The sequence below is a fragment of the Homo sapiens genome, chromosome 13 (assembly GCF_000001405.40).
Source record: "Homo sapiens chromosome 13, GRCh38.p14 Primary Assembly".
NCBI classification, from domain to species: Eukaryota; Metazoa; Chordata; class Mammalia; order Primates; family Hominidae; genus Homo; species Homo sapiens.
The window spans coordinates 43,423,413-43,441,389 of NC_000013.11; the positions used below are offsets into that span (position 1 = coordinate 43,423,413).

Here is a 17,977-nt window from a genome sequence, read left to right on the forward strand (position 1 = left end):
AAGCCCCTGGGATTCAGGGCAAACACATACAGGTTCATAGAGTAATTCATCAAGGTTTGAAGAATCAGGTAAAACCTGAGTTTATCAATTCCTACTTCTCCCAGATAAACATGTCTCCAAAATGTTTCTGACAGGCAACTATCCAGCCTCAGCTAGTGATGGGTGTGGCAGCTCACTGTGCCAGATAGTCCTAAGAGTTCACCGTTCTCTCTCCTGAGCACCTATCTGAAGAACAGGAGATCTAAATCTAAATTCTGTCCTCAAACCCTACCTCTGCAGTGATATGTGGTCTTGGAAAGTGACTCTTCTATCCCTGGAATAGGGATACTGAGGCTTAACTACCATCTTACCTAGCCACAGATAAATTTATGAAAGTAACTAAGGACATATCAGATAATTCTTGCCTCCCCCTGGTCAAATTTTTTCTGTGTTTGCACTCTTGTGTTCTTTTCACATTCACATTCTAAAAGTTCTAAAGAGTAGACAATGTAAACAGAATGTTGTAACTAAATAAAAGCCTCAATTAAAATGGCAAAGCTATGGACTCCTGAGACAGAGCAAGAGAGACAGGAAAGAGTCGTCTTGAGGAAGGGATAAGGCCTCTGGGACAAGATTTCAGGTGGATGTCAGGCTTCAAAGATATAGCCATCAAAAGAGGTGAATTCTATAAACCATACACATGGCAACAAATCAAAGCATAATTTTGTATGCATACACAGTACAGAAAGGCAATGTTGGTCACATCCCGGCCTCTTCAGCTGCACTGATACACAGAAAGCAATTTCTGTAAACATTATTGTCTTCTTACATAAAGGAAATCAGACAATATATAATTCTATAATTTGTGCTGTTTTGTGCTCAGCTTTTTCATTATGTACTCATTTTACACCTTGACCCAACCGTGGAAAACATATTAAGCTAGAAAGTGGAACATTTTAATTGTAGTGGATAAATAACTGACCCTTAAATGGTGGCAAACTGGCAAATTAGTTATCTATTTTCCAAAAAGCCCTGGTTAGAGCCCTTTAATTTATGGAAATCTACCTGCAATAAAACCCAGATCAGACCAAGACCAGCCTGAGCCAGTTGCTCATCCTGTTTAACATTTCTCCCAGTAGGGTGACAAATAACATATTAGTTACTCTTTAAACAAATGTGCTCTTAATGATGCCACTGCCGCATGATGAATAAAGCATTAGCCCTGCAGTCATGATCGCCCTGGGACAGGGAGCGTTAGCAGAACACACCCACCTTGCATGGATTGCCCTGGGTGAGAGACTTTGCTTTATCTTTCTCTAAATGACCACCCATAGCCCTTGCTCATGCTCTGTAACCAGTGAGCAAGAACAGTGGAGCCTTGGGTCCCCTGTGATGGTCCTTTTTGCTTCTCAGGGCCTCATAAATGGTATGGCTATATCACTGGGAGTAACCCAGAAGGCATGATGGGGTAGTTAGGGGAGGGCTATGGGGGCACAGGAGCCTGATGCAAATGACTGCACAGCAGCACATCCAGTTGGAAAGTTCCAGTTCAGCAGTGAGCATTCTGAGGAAATGGGTCAAACCTTTAGTGCTGCTGGTTATATCCAGCAAGATTTAAATGAAGGTGCTCAGAAGAGAAAAAGGCCTGAGTGTCCAAAAGGTATTCAGGCTCCTGAGGCTAGAGGCAGATTAGGGGGCACAGAAAGGTGGTTCCAACCTCCAGGAACATACATGATTCAGAAGCTGAATCCTGGTTATTTCTTGGTAAAAGGTCTTTATGTTCTAGCTGCTTTTGGAGGTCAGGCATCATCAAAAGCAGGAATTGGCTACACCTGGTTATCTCAGCAGGCCCTCATAACCCAGAAAACCTCCATGGAGGCTCCCACCCCCATCAAAAGAGATGAGAGAATAAATGCTGATGGAAAGGCTCCAGCTCTGAAGGCAAAGTTGAAGGGCACTACAAAACACTGTTGCTACAGACCCAAGGCCTTTACCCTCTGTCTGTCTTGGTCACAGATTTGCATTAAAATGTCCTCCACCCCTACCGTCCCCCATTAACACATTCTCCTTTTCAATAGGAGGAGATATTTGCCTCTTAAGAATGCCACATAAAAATCCTTCCTTACAAGGAGATGGCATTTGGAGGACTATGTTCCTCAAATAGTCTCTTTTTCTACTACAGTCTTACAGACCAAAGGACCCATCTGCCTCTGAGCAACTAGTCTATTTTTTTAACTAGGGCTGTGTTCTCAACTAGGCACTAGAGGCATAAGGTCTACAATAATGATGAAGACCTGAAAATATTTTGTGTCAACATGCAATGAAAAGCACACTATCTAAAACAAATATTTAACTAAATGTTTATAAATTCCATATTATGACAATTCTAATTATCAAATTTAGTATTCACATGAAAGTCATTATAGTTGAAAACCATTTGTAACTGGGCTATCTCACTTTGCAGAAATTACTGAGTGTGCACCATTATGGAGAAATTAGAGCTGGTTTTAAATGAAAGAAATAACTTGCAGGCAAATAATTTCAAAAGCAAAATGATTTAAAAAATCATCTCCAAAGTTCCTATAAACAAACTTATACTAAACATCAGATGTGAACACACTTGTTATGTTTGATCTGATATGGAGTAAGTAAATCTGCTGCTGCCTAGAAAGGTTTTAAATGGTTGTGTTCTGAGGCACTGTCTCCTTCCTGCCTACTGTGTGTAAGATAAAGCTATACTTCCTCTCAAATTTGCCAAACTCAGTTCAGGATCGAATGCCATTCCGTTATTTATTCATGGATTACATAAATAATTGTGGAAAAGAAGAAGGAGGCATGAGCAAAAATTGACCTTAAAGAATACAGATGAGAGAGAAAAATATCTGGCTCATGGTACCGAATGCAATTTCATGTTAGCTTAGAGTCATCGTATGTATTTAGGTTTTATTATTTATAAAAAAGAAATCGTGCTGAATGTTCTTTGTGGGAACTGCAATATATTGCTATTGCTACGATGGTTTACTATTTTCACAGCTAGATGGCTTAAACCCAAACTAAACAAATATTTTAAAAGAATTCCCACCAGCATTATTACTTTTTTTTCGTTTCTAGTGTTAATGAAAAAGATCTTCTGCTTTTCAAGTCCTCTGATATCTTTACTCTTGAGCAATTCTCAATTTTATGGCTTATGATGAGATAATGTTTATTGAAAAATAACAACTTAAGAAAATAACCAGCAACTAGTGGTGGTTAAGCAGTGCAGTGTCTGAAGTGAGGGCATTTGAGAACTGCAGTGGCTGTCAACTCCAAATATTCACCAGGTCTTGACTATTACGGCAATTAGGATGATGATTTTATTACTTGCACACTGAAGTAGACATATTTTTGTGTACTCATCCAAGATATCAACTTGACAGTGTCTACTACACACAGAATTTTGCTAATAAGATAAAAATAAGGTAGATGTGACAGTGAGACACATAATCAACATAAAACAAAATGCACCATCATGTCCAGACTTCTCACTGTATGACCAAACCCTTACTTTAATAGGGGTCACCACCTTCATTCAAATGCACTCCCCAAACTCTTGCTATCATTCTTAACTACTGGCTAATTCACCATCCTTTTCTCTAGGGATAAAATTTGCACAGAAATGCAATGACACAGTTCTCTTCAATCTGAGAGTAAATATCAATATACACTAGAGAGGTGGGGATTTTTTTGTTTTAAAAATATTATTGCTGATACATGTAATGAGTTCAAACAAAGCTAAAGTCTATAAAGTAAAAGGGGAATGCCATTCCGTTACTCCTTATCTGCCAGCCAACACACTCCCCAGATGGAACCGCTGGGAAAATAGCTCCCTATACAGCAGTCACTGTGGCAAGAAACTCACATCCTCGATCTCATGAAAAAGACTCACAACAACCTATGAGATAGATGTTATTCCAACTTTTTACAAAAGAAAATAAACTAAGGTCCAGAAGGCTATTCCTTTGGATTTTTACCCAAGGTCAGAAAGCCAATGAATGGCAGAGCCCAGGACTCAATGTACCCTAGCCTGGATGTCTGTTGTTACAGATTTGGGGAACTCCAACTTTCTCCCACAAAGAGTCAGACTAGAAGGTTCCTCTGGGTTTAACTGGCTCTAAAGAGAGAAAGAAGTCTAGGGTAAAGGTTAGTTCCATCCCTGGGGGTAGATTTATTTATGCAACATATCTTTATAAGATGTTGACTGTATGTAGCACTGTGCTTGATACCAAGAACGTAATAGTGAACAAGACATAGACCCTGTCTTCAAAAAGTTTGCAATAATACAGTCAGGTAACTAAACAAACTAAAAAGTACCAGCAGACATGAACTTGCTATAGCATGGCAAATTAGATATTCTTAGGAACATGCCTCTTATAAGAAAACAACAACTAGATTCTGGATAAGACCACTTATTTATGTATTACTAGGCTTTCTACTAGGCTTGGTAAAGGAAACCCTGCTAGACATCTGCTTCTAAAAAGAAAGAAAACAAAAAAAGTTGGCTGAAACCAGAAGGATGAGCCAGGAGTAGTAAGTTGCTTGGAGGGAAAGTGCCAACATCAGCAATGCACCAGGAGATAGCCTGTCATGGCAAGGTCAAGCCCTGGTCTGAGGTTTCCATGGCAATCAGGACCTGAAGATTTGTTGCACCTTTACATGGCCCTTACCCCAGTCAGCCTTCTCAAACTCTCGACTTCAGTTTTAGAAGTAGGCAAGTGAAAGAATCTGGGCAAACCAGCAGAAATCACTGCTGAAAGACAACTCAAGACCCATGCTTTATTGAGAGGCACATTTTTCTTAAATAAGTCAGAATAATAATTGTGTACTTAGAGAAAGAGAGAGAGAGAACAAACATATAAAGTTTCTACCTAGGGTTGATCTGTAATCCAAATTGGGCTTAACTCAGTCCAAATATATATATTGAGGGCAAACTGATGGTTTAAGCTGAGAGCTTGGGATAAAGAAGGTATAAACATCATCATTATCAAGGACTGTCCAGGTCCATTCTCCCCATGTCAACAGCTTCTATTTGCAATCTCTAAATCATCCACACCCTCACCACAACTGTACTGCCTGATAGAATGCACTAGTGAGTGAGGCGGATGGCAAAGTAGAAAGGCTGGTCCCAGCTTTATATATAGAAAGGCTGGGAGGTGGAGTCAGGTTACTATTACTTTTTCTTACCTCATCCCCTTTCTGCCAGAACCTTCTTCTGTTCTACTTCTCTTACTTGTACCAAATACACTCTCTCTAACACGAGCTATCTCATCATGTTGGCAGCTAGCTACAAGGAAGAGGCCTGGAATGCAGTTCTCCTTTCTACCTGTCATTGGGAATAGGAGCTACAGAAACTAGGGTTGGTGAGGCGGGTGGGGGGTACTGTGGAGGTGGGTAAAGCCACAAGCTGGATAAACCAGAAAACCCAACTTCTAACTCCTATTCCAAGGGATAGCTGACATTCTAGAGGTGCTGAAAGAGTGAGGATCTATGTCAGTTATCATGTGGGACACTGAAATCAAAGTCCCTCTGCATGCTGATTAGAATCATCACCCATTGTGGCGGCTATTTTTTCATTCTCAGTAGAGACAAACTGAAACCCTGAGAACTGATCTGGGCAAGTCGCTTTCTCTGACTCTCCTAAGAAACGTGCACAGCAGTTTGGCAGCACAATTTGCATACCAGAGGAGAGCTCCTGTCACAAGTACCCTGTGGGCCAGTTTCCTGAGCTTTTCCACTTGATGCTTTCAAGCCTCATCTCACGAGTCATTGGAGAGGCTAACGTATAATGCCTTTTGGAGGAGCTGAAAGGAATAAAACATTACTAGCAAAACGGTCATATATTTTGAGAGTTAAAATCTAGATCCCTTTAGATAGGCCCTCTGAAAGAAATGCTTTCGACTACGATGGCAGCAGCAAAAACTCTGTTAAGGACAGCTTCATGAGCACAACTTCCCAGCCACTATTCCCACCTGAAAAGTACATATTCTGGTCTGCATTTTTTTTTCTACAAGTATTTTGCTTTGATTCATTGTTGATACACATGACAGCAGAATAATAAACTAGGTAGTTTGAGCCTGTGTGTGACTGGGATTCGGCATAAGCATCACAATTTTGGTTTGTAAATTCCTTTGGTTCAGTAGATCAAATGGGGAAAGACTTGTGTAATGTGAAATTCAATGACCAGCAATGGCAGGGATCTTTTGGATATGTAATCTGCTGTTGGAGCCATGCTTGGGGACCAAATAGATGAGCAGGCCATGTTAGGAAGGGCAGCAAGGAAAAGAGAAAACATGAATTAATATTAAAAATGTGATGCAAAATAAAATGGAGGTTATAGTCATATCCTTCCAATTGTATTGAGCTGAAATTGTTTCTGGATTTGGAAGCTCCTTGCTAAGCTAAATTGCAAAAATAAGATTATATGAGGAGAAAAGGTAATTTCCAAAATATAATAAACATAATACAATTACTGCACACTTATATATGAAATCCAGAAAGGTATATTTCTTTCACGCCATGTGATCACAGTTTTGTTACAGTTTTATGTTCTTATTTTATGCTTTCCACTAGTTTTCTTGACTTTGCATATTCTTGATGCAAATCAGTGAATGCATATAAAGTGTAAACAATAGGCTCTCAACATGGAGCCTACCCAAATGATTTAACTGTGTAGCATTGATTATCTTGTCCACTGTGTGAGCAACGTGCACAAAATATGCATTTTGTATGTTACGGAGGTCTTGCTGATGTGGATGAAGAAGTGTGAGAACTAGGATGGAGAAGAAGCTAACTTCAACAGTCTACTCTTTAGTGTCCTCCCTTTACATAAAACAAAACAAACAACTGATCAGCTACTAGTAATCAACAAACTTAAATTTGCTGAGAGGAAGTAGTTAAATAGCAATACCAAGATGTAGAGGTTAGGGAAGGTTGTTTTGCCCCTGCCTATTGACCTACATATACTGAAGCAAAATTGGAAAACTGCAGCATATTTGGTCACAAGGTCTTTCTATTTCCATTCATAATTTCTTTTCTTTATTCCCTCTTTTTTTTTGTTCTTCAGAGAACACCTTTCTTGATATGGGTGTTTTAAAATTCTGATCAGAACTGGCAGTGGGAAAAGAGCTGAGGAAATAACGGAGACTCATACTTATGTGACACATTCACAAACCCTATGAATTTTTAATGAAGGCACAATGTCCACAATTAGATTTGAAATGAGGTTTTCTTTGTAGGCGCTCTTACAGTAAGTGGAGTGCAAGCGAATTTTACTTTATATTCAGTAAATGATACCAAGTGCAAAAAACACTACAATTTAATAGAAAATAAAAACAAATTGTTGATTGTTCATAGCTCCTTTTTCATCTCTTAGATTTACAAAAGTGTAGCAGTTAAAAAAATTGCATTTCGTTTTATTTAAATACCACATGGATGCCAAGGCAACTCAAAGGTATAGAAAGTCATTTTCAGTCATGACCTGAAGCTGTCCTTTTGCATTGTGTGGAGAAGTTTTTGTTTGTTTTAAACTGTAAAAATGACTTCTAAATGTAGATCTTTGGGGAGAAAGATATTAAGCTTCCCTATTTGCAAACTAAGCCATTTCAAATGAACATAAAAAAAAAATCTAATAGTGTAGAAAATAAGGAAATAGAGTGGGCTGATGGCTACTTCGTTTGCATTTTGATTTTAAAGCTTAACTCTTGTCTTCATAGGGCTTAGGTTTTCAGCTTCGCAGAAACAGACACAGTTTCCCATCCTTCTTAGGTGGTTTCCAAAGTCCTTCAGTTTCTGGCTCCTGGTCACCTTGGCAACATCATTTCCTAAAGCTGCTTCTTCTCTTGGAGCTCCCGCAACACAGATGCTTTTACTCTTCCTTGAGCCTAGCAAGTGTGATCTTCTCTTAGTGACTCTGCACTTGTGGTTCCTCCAGGTAACTGCGCAACCACCCTGCTCCCTCACCTGGGCCCTTCTCTGACGAAATGTCATCCCTGACCTCTACCTAAAATAGCAACTGCGTCACCTTCTGTCCTTCTACTAGCCTTATTTTCTTTCTCTCTAGGATTTCTTGGCATCTGAGGTTATATTACATAGTTATTTCTTTGATAAATTAGTCATCCATGAGGGCACACTTATTTTTAACCTTTTAAAAATGTTTTTCTTGGTAAATTGCCATCAGCCAAAACAGTGCCTAGTACTTAGTAGACACACACCCTTCCCTCCCACATACGCAAATTCATTGATTAAATATTATGAGTGGGTGTATATATACATACACACATAAATATGTATAAACACACCGTATTAATCATTACTGTTTGATTTTCTATATTCCTGATGCTTTGACATATGGGTCCTTGCTGACATTGGAGGGATCTCCCCTCCCAGGGCTAGCCAATCCAAGAGAGCAAACGCCTCACCTGGGAGCACACACGTCATAGGCAAACCAACCAATCCAGATCCCAGACCCTCGAACACCTCCTTTACTGGCTCTCAGATGCTGAACCACTATTCCTCTGGCCTAATCACCCCGGAGCCAAGTATAGGCCTTATACCCCAGAGCTTAAATTATTCAAACTAGCCCATCCTACGCCTGTTTATTCCACCTTGCCTTGCCTCCTGTTTTGCAGAAATCACAATAAAGGCGCTCTCACTTCCTCTCCCTTCTGACTGACCCTGGCGCCTCCCTGTGTGGCTCCTCGTTGTGTGGTGTGGCAAGCTTCCTTCTCTTTGGAACTGTGAATAACAAACTATCTTTTCTATGGCAGTCGTCTCCTGATCTGTTGGCCTTACCACACCCTATAATAATAAAAACTGCATTTTCAAATGCAAACAAATAAACACTCAAATAAAATTCACTGTATTTTCAAGGACAATGAAATATAGTAATCGCCAGAAGTTATGATTTTTCTGGACTCATAAGAAATAAAATCAGGCAGGGTACAGTGGCTAACACCTGTAATCCCAGCACTTTGGGAGGCCGAGGCAGGTGGATCAATTTGACGCCAGTTCGAGACCAGCCTGGCCAACATGGTGAAACCCCATCTCTACTAAAAATAGAAAAAAAAATGAGGTGGGCGTGGTGGCGCATGTTTGTAATCCCAGCTCCTTGGGAGGCTGAGGCACGAGAATTGCTTGAGCCTGGGAGGCAGAGGTTGCAGTGAGCTGAGATTGTACCACTGCACTCCAGCCTGGGCAACAGAGTGAGACTCTGTCTCAAAAAATGAATAAATACATAAATAAAAATAGAAAGAAAGAAAATGACTTTGACATTTTAAAGATCTGTGTACAGTTTCAACTCCGTCTCAGCCCTGAGATTCATTTATGAATTGCTTTTGTGGTTATTATTGTTGCTTTCTACTTTCGCCCTTTAAGTTTTTTTGTTTATTTATTTCTTTTTTTTAAGGGGGATTCAGACACTATTACCTCAAAGGAGCAGCGCTGCCTTATTCTTTTTGCTAGATACAAATCGTTAACCCTATTCACCAAACAGCAATTAATTGTCAATAAAACACATCCACACTGTGAACTCTGGTGTCAACGTAGGCTTATCAATTGTAACAACTCTGAGGGGGATGTTGATATGGGGGAGACCATGCATGTCTGAGGTCTGGGGCTATCTCTTAGTCTGTTTAGGGTTGCTATAACAGAATACCCGAGGCCAAGTACTTTATAAAGATTTAGCTCATGGTTCTGCAGGCTGTACAAAAGGCATGGTGCCAACATCTGCTTGGCTTCTGGTGAGGCCGTTTCATGCTGCATCATAGCATGGCAGAGAAAATCAAGGGGGAAGTGAACATGTGTGAAGAGGCAAAACCTCAGGGGCATCCTTTTTATAATAACCCACTCTCATGAGAACATTCCTCAGTGAACTAATCCAGTCTTCCTTGAGCGAGAACTCACTCGCTACTTCAAGAACAACACCAAGCCATTCATGAGGGATCTAATCCCATGACCCAAACACCTCCTATTAGACCCACCTCCCAACACTGTCACACTGGGGATCAAGTTTCAACATGAGTGTTGGTGGGGACAAACTCAAACCATAGCAGATATATGGGAAATTTCTGTACCTTCTGCTCAAAATTGCTGTGAATCTAATAGTGCTCTAAAAGAATTGTCTTAAAAAAATACATACACATATATGTTTATTCTCTTTAAATATAAGAAAATAATAAATCCTATCCATAATTTCCTAAATTATAGTTAGCTCTAAATGTAATAAGAACACATTTCTATGACGTGATGCACTCTGAGTTTTTTCAACACATTTGTTCCTTTTTTATTCCAAAAACTATGGTTCATGTTGTTCCATGGCCAATTTGCCAGATGCTTCAACATTCCCTGCTGGAACGCACCTCAGACAGGGCTAAGTCAGGGCCTTCCAGGGGCATGGCAACCATGAAAACTGATCCTGGGAAACTGACCTTTAATATATTTTCATAGTAAGCTCAGAGGAATGTGCTGGGTGATTACCCATTACTTGTACCTGGTAAGGACACAGGCCTGAAGCTAGAGTCTTTGCACAGTAGAGATGGGCCAGCAAGATATAAAGATGTCCACAGAAGTGGCCAAGGAAACCACTAGAATGCACTGGAGGGAGCCTCAATCCAGTCAGTTGCTAACACTGGCAGTAGGGCCTTCCCTGGGATTTGATAGCCTATGCAGCTGTCTTCATGCAGTTCAGATTCATGCCTCCTTTACTTACCTTACAGAGCTCTTGCCAACATGGTCACCCTGGTGACAACCATGTGCTCTCTAACAGAAATACCTGACCCTGCTCAAGGTATTAGAAACAATAAGAGAATAATTTTTAGGAGACTTGAGAGAGGTCTTAAAACTGTGCTCATATGCTTTTTTTGAAAACATGGTTTTCAAATAAAAGCAAGGGTTGAGACATCCAAGGAGCTAGTCGCTCTCCCTCTAGTCCTTCGGCCTTCCTTTCTGCCTGGTGTTGCACATTGCCTCCCACACGCCAGTGCTCACAGCTGCTCCACTGTGGGTGTGGCTGTTCCTTCTCTTCTCTATGCTTCTCTCTTTTTAGGCTCATATAAAGGCCCACCTCCTCCAAGACACCATGTAAGATCAATTTTCTACAACCACTTGCTCCTCTGAACCCCAGAGTTCCCCAAGGGTGGTATGTCAGAGGATTTAATGTGGGACCCAACACCATTATTTTAATTTTTAATAGCTATATTTGCTTTGAGTCATGTGAAATTGATGTTTCTGTGGATTTAAAAAATGGTCAAATATTGGCAGTTTCATGTAGTTCAACCTAATATGTGTCAGGGAAAAAATATTAAAAGAAAACCAGACATCATTGTTTAGGATGAGGCTAAAATGAGTACTTTATTGAACTGTGTAAAAATGAATAAGTAAATAAACGTTTTGATGGTACAGATACAGCAAAAATTATTAAGCTTGTATCCACTACTGAACCACTGACCAAATGTATTTTGACAATCACTGTTCTACGTGTCCTTTTAACGTGTCTTATTATTGTGTGTGTGTGGTTTTTTTTTTTTTTTTTTTTTTTTTGTATATCTATGTATTTGTGTTTTCTCTTCCATTAGTTTCCTGGATATTTGTACACAAGAGGCAAGGAGAGATTACAAACCTCTTAGCATAATACCCGGCACGCAGAAGACGGACTTGACATAGGGATTTGTCTGGTCACTTATGATGAGATCTTACCAGGAAACACCATTTGTTTTCCTTATGGTCATTCTAAAACTGGAAACTGATGGGCCACGCAATGGAGTATGCCATTCCAGCCAGGAAACCTACAACCTGGAGCAAATGAAAACACAGGACTCCTATGGAGCACTCCACGCTGGGAGCTAACCTCACCACTGGGAAGCATTAAGGGGTAGTGTGGCCTGTTGGTCAGAACATGACCATCTGGACTCATTCTCAGCAGTGTGATTGTACATTACATCCTCCACTTCTCCATTCCAACTGACAATGCCACCAATAGCTGAGAAAGTGGAGGCCATGGGAAGCTGGTACCTACTAGGATATCCTATTGGCTCCTGTCCTCTCTGCCCAGTTACTGACCACGGCACCAAGCTTCAGATTCTGTTTAATACTGTCCTTTACACAATGGTGCCTGGGTCTTTTGAAATGGATAGGGATAATTATGATTCATATGCTTCAAGAAATAAACCACGGTACTCACACAACCTACATATTTCATTTCTATTTTAAAAACACAAAATACTTACATGCTGTTGGTGTTTTGAAAGCTTTTGCCACTTATGCTTTTTTAAATATAATGGTTCAGAAACAAAATTCTGCCTGCTAATCAGTCTTTATTTCCATTCATAAAAAATTATGTCTCCATAATACCTAAGAGGTCAATAACTAGATGTTGAAACAAATAATATTAAAGAAAAATATTTATTGTAGAAGTCTGTGGTTGAGGCAGAAGAAAGGTGTTATTTTCATCTGGGGTATCAAGAAAACACCATGAATGGAGAAGAATATGGTCTGAGTCTCAAAGGATTAAAAAAAAAAAAAAACCAACCTATGTGGGAAGAGAGACAGAGAGAAAGTGCGCAGGCAGCTCAGGCAGGAAATGGTAAACTCAAATGTGTGAAATCGGGAGCGTTGGAGGCTGCTGAAAGGACATAGCTGCCTCTTTACTATTTTACATTTAAGTCAAGTTATTCAGATTATATTGGTCTCTGTATGTATATAATGACAATAGTAGTTTTATTCTCTAAAAAGTTGCTTTGAGAAAAATGTCAAGGGATTTAAATGCATGCTTCCAAAGTACAATGTTTTCCTACATAAAGATGCTGGTTTATCAACTAGAAAACTAAAGTGGGCTTCTTTATAAAAGATAGACTGAAAAGATTAGGAAAGTCTTGACAATATAAACATACATTTACTCACCAACTCATGAAATACTAAAACTAGGTTTTACTGCTCAAAGAAAGCATAAAATAGATCATTTCAGTAGAAAGAAAATAAAGCACATTTTTTACAACATAGAAAGTAATCTCAGAATTCATTAACCAAGAGACCAAAAACAATACCTAAAATATTATATATGTTAAGGGAGCTTTAAATAAAGTCATGGAGAGCAGATTTACAATGCTTTAATTGAACCAGGATAGGAATGGCAGGAGTCTGTTCACAACCTTTCATGGCAGAGAAGAGTTATATAACAGCCTTGATATTGGCCAGCTGCAAAAAAAGTCAATAACAATATGAAGATGACAGGACTTTTGGAAGAAAGTTACTATACAGCTTGGAGTTCATAATATTATGTGAGGATAGAGAACATTAATTCTAATCAGATCCACATCATTATTTACAGAAAACTTTTTTTTTTAAGGTTCAGAGAAAATACAAGTGTGATATAAACACACAGGTATCAGGGCTAATAAGTGTAAGAGAGATTTAGAAAAATAAAATTTTGATTCTATAACTGGATAGTCATAATCCTAGTGAAACAAAAAGAGATGCCACTGTAGAAATCACTATGGCTTACAATAATTTCTCTGATGAATTTTGATTCTAAAATGACAAGTAATAAATGGAACCAAGGACACGAGGGTAAAGACAAACACCAGTGTGTGGGAATAATTCCTAGAAGAATGCTGAAGAGGCCTAAATACAGGACTGGGATCGAACATTTTGAAAAAACATACCAAAGGGATGTTTATAGAACATATTTTTTAAAGTCTTCAAAAGAAGAACAAGGAAAAATAGCAATACTTTTGGGGAAGGCCATTAACAATAAATAGCAAAGATGACAGAACTGTTCAACTCCCATTTTGTGAATCCACCCCTGCAAGCAAAATAATCCGCACATTGGGAAGGGTAGAATAAACAAAATACGCATGGAATTTCAGCCTGACGTGGTGATGGGGGGATTTACTCACCAACCCAGAGCTAGCATCAGACATTCACAGAACAAGCCAGTAAGACCCAATCCTGCAACCAACATAATATGACACTAGGTTAAATGCTTCCACTTTCCTTTCCCGAAAATCTGAGCTTGTGGCAACTTTATCGGGATTCAATCATTTGACCTTGAGAACTTAGTGCAACTATGGAAATGACCCATAATGACTACCGGAATTCCAAAGAGTTGGTGCCAGTTTTAGAATGACAACTTACTAGGTTTGTGACCTGGGGCAAAAGATACAGGATGAGACTGATTTTCACATATTAGAAGTAAAGCGGATATAGAAGGTGAACTAGATTAGTTAAGCAATACGCCAAAGAATGGACTTAGTGCCAATGGTTAGGGTTTATGGCGGACCGATTTCAGGGTCATCCATTCTTTTTCCCATTCATTCAGTGAATATTTAGTAACTTCCACTGTGTGCAGCACCATTTTAAATTCTAGGTGAACAAGAAACTCACTCCAAAGAAGGGAGACCTGGAAAAATAGGTCAGTATAAAGCAGATAAATGGGTAAATGCATTAAAACGCAGGTTAACAGAAACAACACAGAAGAAAAAACAATTAACTTTGAAGGTAATTTTAGATTTTCTCCAAGGTTAAATAGAGGAAAAAATTGGTGGGGAGGGATAATAAAACACCTTAAAATGTGTTTCAGGCATGACAACACTATGATCAAAAATACTTCTGTGTGAAAAGTATGTGGCATGATACAGAAAATGAGTATTTTTGTTTGGCTGTAGTTTAAAGGGAACATGGTGAAAAAGTGGAGAACGATGCTAACAATGTAGGCAGGGGTCATGCTAAGGAGTTTAATTCCTACAGGCAATGGAGACCAAATGGAATATTTTAAATGGGGAGTGACAGGGTCAAATTTGTAATTTAGAGCAATAATTCTTAGAGAAGTACAGAGTAAGCTCTACAGGAAGACAAGCCTGAGGAGGGTAAATCTATTTGGAGGTAATTATGGGAGACCAGACAAGATGAGGCAGTGGCAGCGGAGATGAAGAGAGGGAACAGATTTAAGAGGTACTTCTGGAGACAGAAGAGATAGCAATTGGAATGTGGAAGTGAGAGGGAGTGAGTGACATGTGTGAGGGCCCAAGAAGGTAACATTCAAAAATGAATCCCAGGTTTCCACCTCAAAGGAATTGTTGGATAAAAATAGGGATTTCCATGGCACAAGAACACTTAAAGGATTAGTTTAGTTCAGGAGGAAAATGTAAGTTTTCCACAGAGCAATCAAATGCTTCAATATTAAACTTACAAACCATACAAAAATGTATCTGTCCCCTGGATGGCTATTTGCTTCCCTCAGTAGCCACAAAGCTATGTTGTATGCCTGGCACACAGTGGCTCTCAACCTCTGATGGGCATTGGACTTGAATCAAATTGCCTGAGGAGACTTTTCCAAATGCATATGCTTGGTCTTCACCCCCAGGAGATTCTGATTTAGTGGATCTGATGTGAGGTGCAGGCATTTTTTAAAACAGCTCCAAAGGAGATTCTGATATGCATCCAAATCTGACAGCCACTGTAGTATACAGTCGATCCATAGCTCTTTGAGTGATTAGTTAAAAGGAGGAAGGGAAGGAGAGGGCTTCTTGAAATTTTTGAAGAAGCAGCTGGTTGACTTTCTATGCTCAACAGTGTATTATTGTGTGAGAAATTTACTAAATGAACTTTCCTGTCTTTTAATCTTTTTTTTTTTTTTTTTTTGAGCGGAGTTTCATGCTTATTGCCCAAGCTGGAGTGCAGTGGTGCAATCTCGGCTCATTGCAACCTCTGCCTCCCACCTCCCGGGTTCAAGCAATTCTCCTGCCTCAGCCTCCCGAGTAGCTGGGATTACAGGCACCCGTGGGTCACACCTGGCTAATTTTTTTGTATTTTTTTTTTCACTTTTTTTTTTGAGACGGAGTCTCACTCTGTCACCCAGGCTGGAGTGCAATGGTGAGATCTTGGCTCACTGCAACCTCTGCCTCCCAGGTTCAAGTGATTCTCTGACCTCAGCCACCACGCCTGGCTAATTTTTGTATTTTTAATAGAGACAGGGTTTCACCATGCTCGTCAGGCTGGTCTCGAGCTCCTGACCTCGTGATCTGCCCACCTCAGCCTCGCAAAGTGCTGGGATTACAGGCGTGAGCCACCGTCCCTGGCCTTCCTATCTTCTAATCTTAAGGGTCCACAAATGTGATGTTATAGTGTTCCTGGCTTCAACTTGCAGACAGAACACTGGCTGAGAGATTACTGGACTCACTCAAATTCAATCTTTTCTTATATTTTTTTACATTATTGATGAACATCCCTTCTTATAGCAACTCGTTCTTTAACATTTTTTGTGTGCTTTTACATATTTTTCATTTACTTTTTTCTCAATGTCTATTCCTCCTACTAGACTGATGTTCTATGAAAGCAAGCATTCTGTTTCTTTTGTTCACTATCGTGTATGTAAGCACTGACCTAGCAAAACACACACGTTCAGTCAATAAATGAGCAACGAGCCAGATTTTTCTGGTGAAACATTTGAAGCCACAATGCATTATTTTCAATATGCCTATAGGTACATCCATGAGTGTATTATAGATTCAGAAAATGGTTTCAGAAATAATCAAAAGCATACAGCTATAGGCAAAACATGTTTATATATATGTATATTTTTTACCTCGAGGAAACCTTTGACTCCCAAAATTTTTATGTTATGTAAGACAGCCCCTTACATCAGCAAATAAAATTAAAAATAGGGAATAAATATCTAAAAGGGTGAATTAGGCACAGAGGTGTAGCCTGAGAAATAGAAGCTAAACCTCGTTCCTGTTCCTTATCTATTAATAGATCTCAGAAGCCTGAACCTTGAAGTCTGATAAATCTAGAGCTTTCCTGTCATTTATATCTAATGATCAATTCTAACAGTTAGACAAAAAACCACTAAATGAATGAAAAGATGAATTATTGAGAAACTTAGAGGGTCTTTTAGCATGGCAATTAAAGAAGTAGAAACAAGTGGCTAACTTGAAGAGCCAGAAATGTTAAAAATCTCTGTATTAATAGTGATTACTGAAGTGTTTTTAGGTTCCAAGTTAAACATTTGCTGACACTGCTTACTACAATATGTAGGTAACTCACGACATTTTTAAAGACATTTTACTGCCCTGAGATTGAATGTGAGTTTTTTTAACAAAAAAATTATCAAAATCAGAATTCTACTTTACCTAAAATTTGCCAAGCAACTACTATCTGCTACTACTTTCGCATGTATCATCTCATGTAGTTTCCATAAAAACTGTACTTTACCAATCAGAAAACTAAAAATAAGAGCAACCTTAGATGAATGCCTAAAACTAGAATGCTATAAAAAGTGTTAATTATAATACAAATCACTGAAGTATCATTTTATCCAGGTAAATTTATACATATGTATAAAAGTGTATTTTTAAAAATACTAAATATGAACCTCAATCATAAGAATGATACAAGAATACTATGTTTTGATTAATGATAAATTTGGCTAACTGGAGAAAACATTGTTTCAACTGATGTTATCAAACAGGTTTTGAAAGCAGTAATAAGACACATTGACATGATATGCTTGATACACTTGAGAAGGTTACACCACCTCTGTGGTATTCTTGCCAAAATTTTATAACCTCAATTTAATCATGAAAGAACATCACACAAACCCAAATCAAGGATATTCTATAAGATAACCAGTACGCTTCAAAAATTTCACAGCCATGAAAGACAAAAAAAGACTGAAGATCTGTCCTACTGATTTCTGATATTTCTAATGTAAGATCAGTAGTCATTACATACTATTGGTTGTATAAATATAGGCCTAAGAAATTGGAATGATTCCATGTTGCATCCAGCGTATTAACTAAGTGTTATGATGCAAAGTTGTTTGTATATTAGCTGCAATTTCCCCCATGACTTATAAGAAAAAAAATTCCTTATTAACTAATGACTCCAGTTAACTGATTGAAATTACATTCTACTAAGCTAAATATACATGTCATTTCTTACAAGGGCTGTATGTTTTTATAAATCAGTA

The 17,977-nt window shown here is 38.8% G+C and overlaps 1 protein-coding gene across 31 annotated transcripts in view; it reads right to left on the bottom strand.

Annotated features, from left to right (window-relative positions):
- The window catches only part of ENOX1 (ecto-NOX disulfide-thiol exchanger 1), a 573,843-nt gene that overhangs the window by 210,283 nt on the left and 345,583 nt on the right, over positions 1 to 17,977 (bottom strand). The window contains exon 4 of one of the 31 annotated variants that reach the window (NM_001347968.2): positions 13,905 to 13,956. The exons of the other annotated variants lie outside the window; for them this stretch is intronic. The gene's annotated coding sequence lies outside the window, so the exon portion shown is untranslated. The remainder of the gene's footprint in view (positions 1 to 13,904; positions 13,957 to 17,977) is intronic. 31 annotated transcript variants of the gene reach the window in all.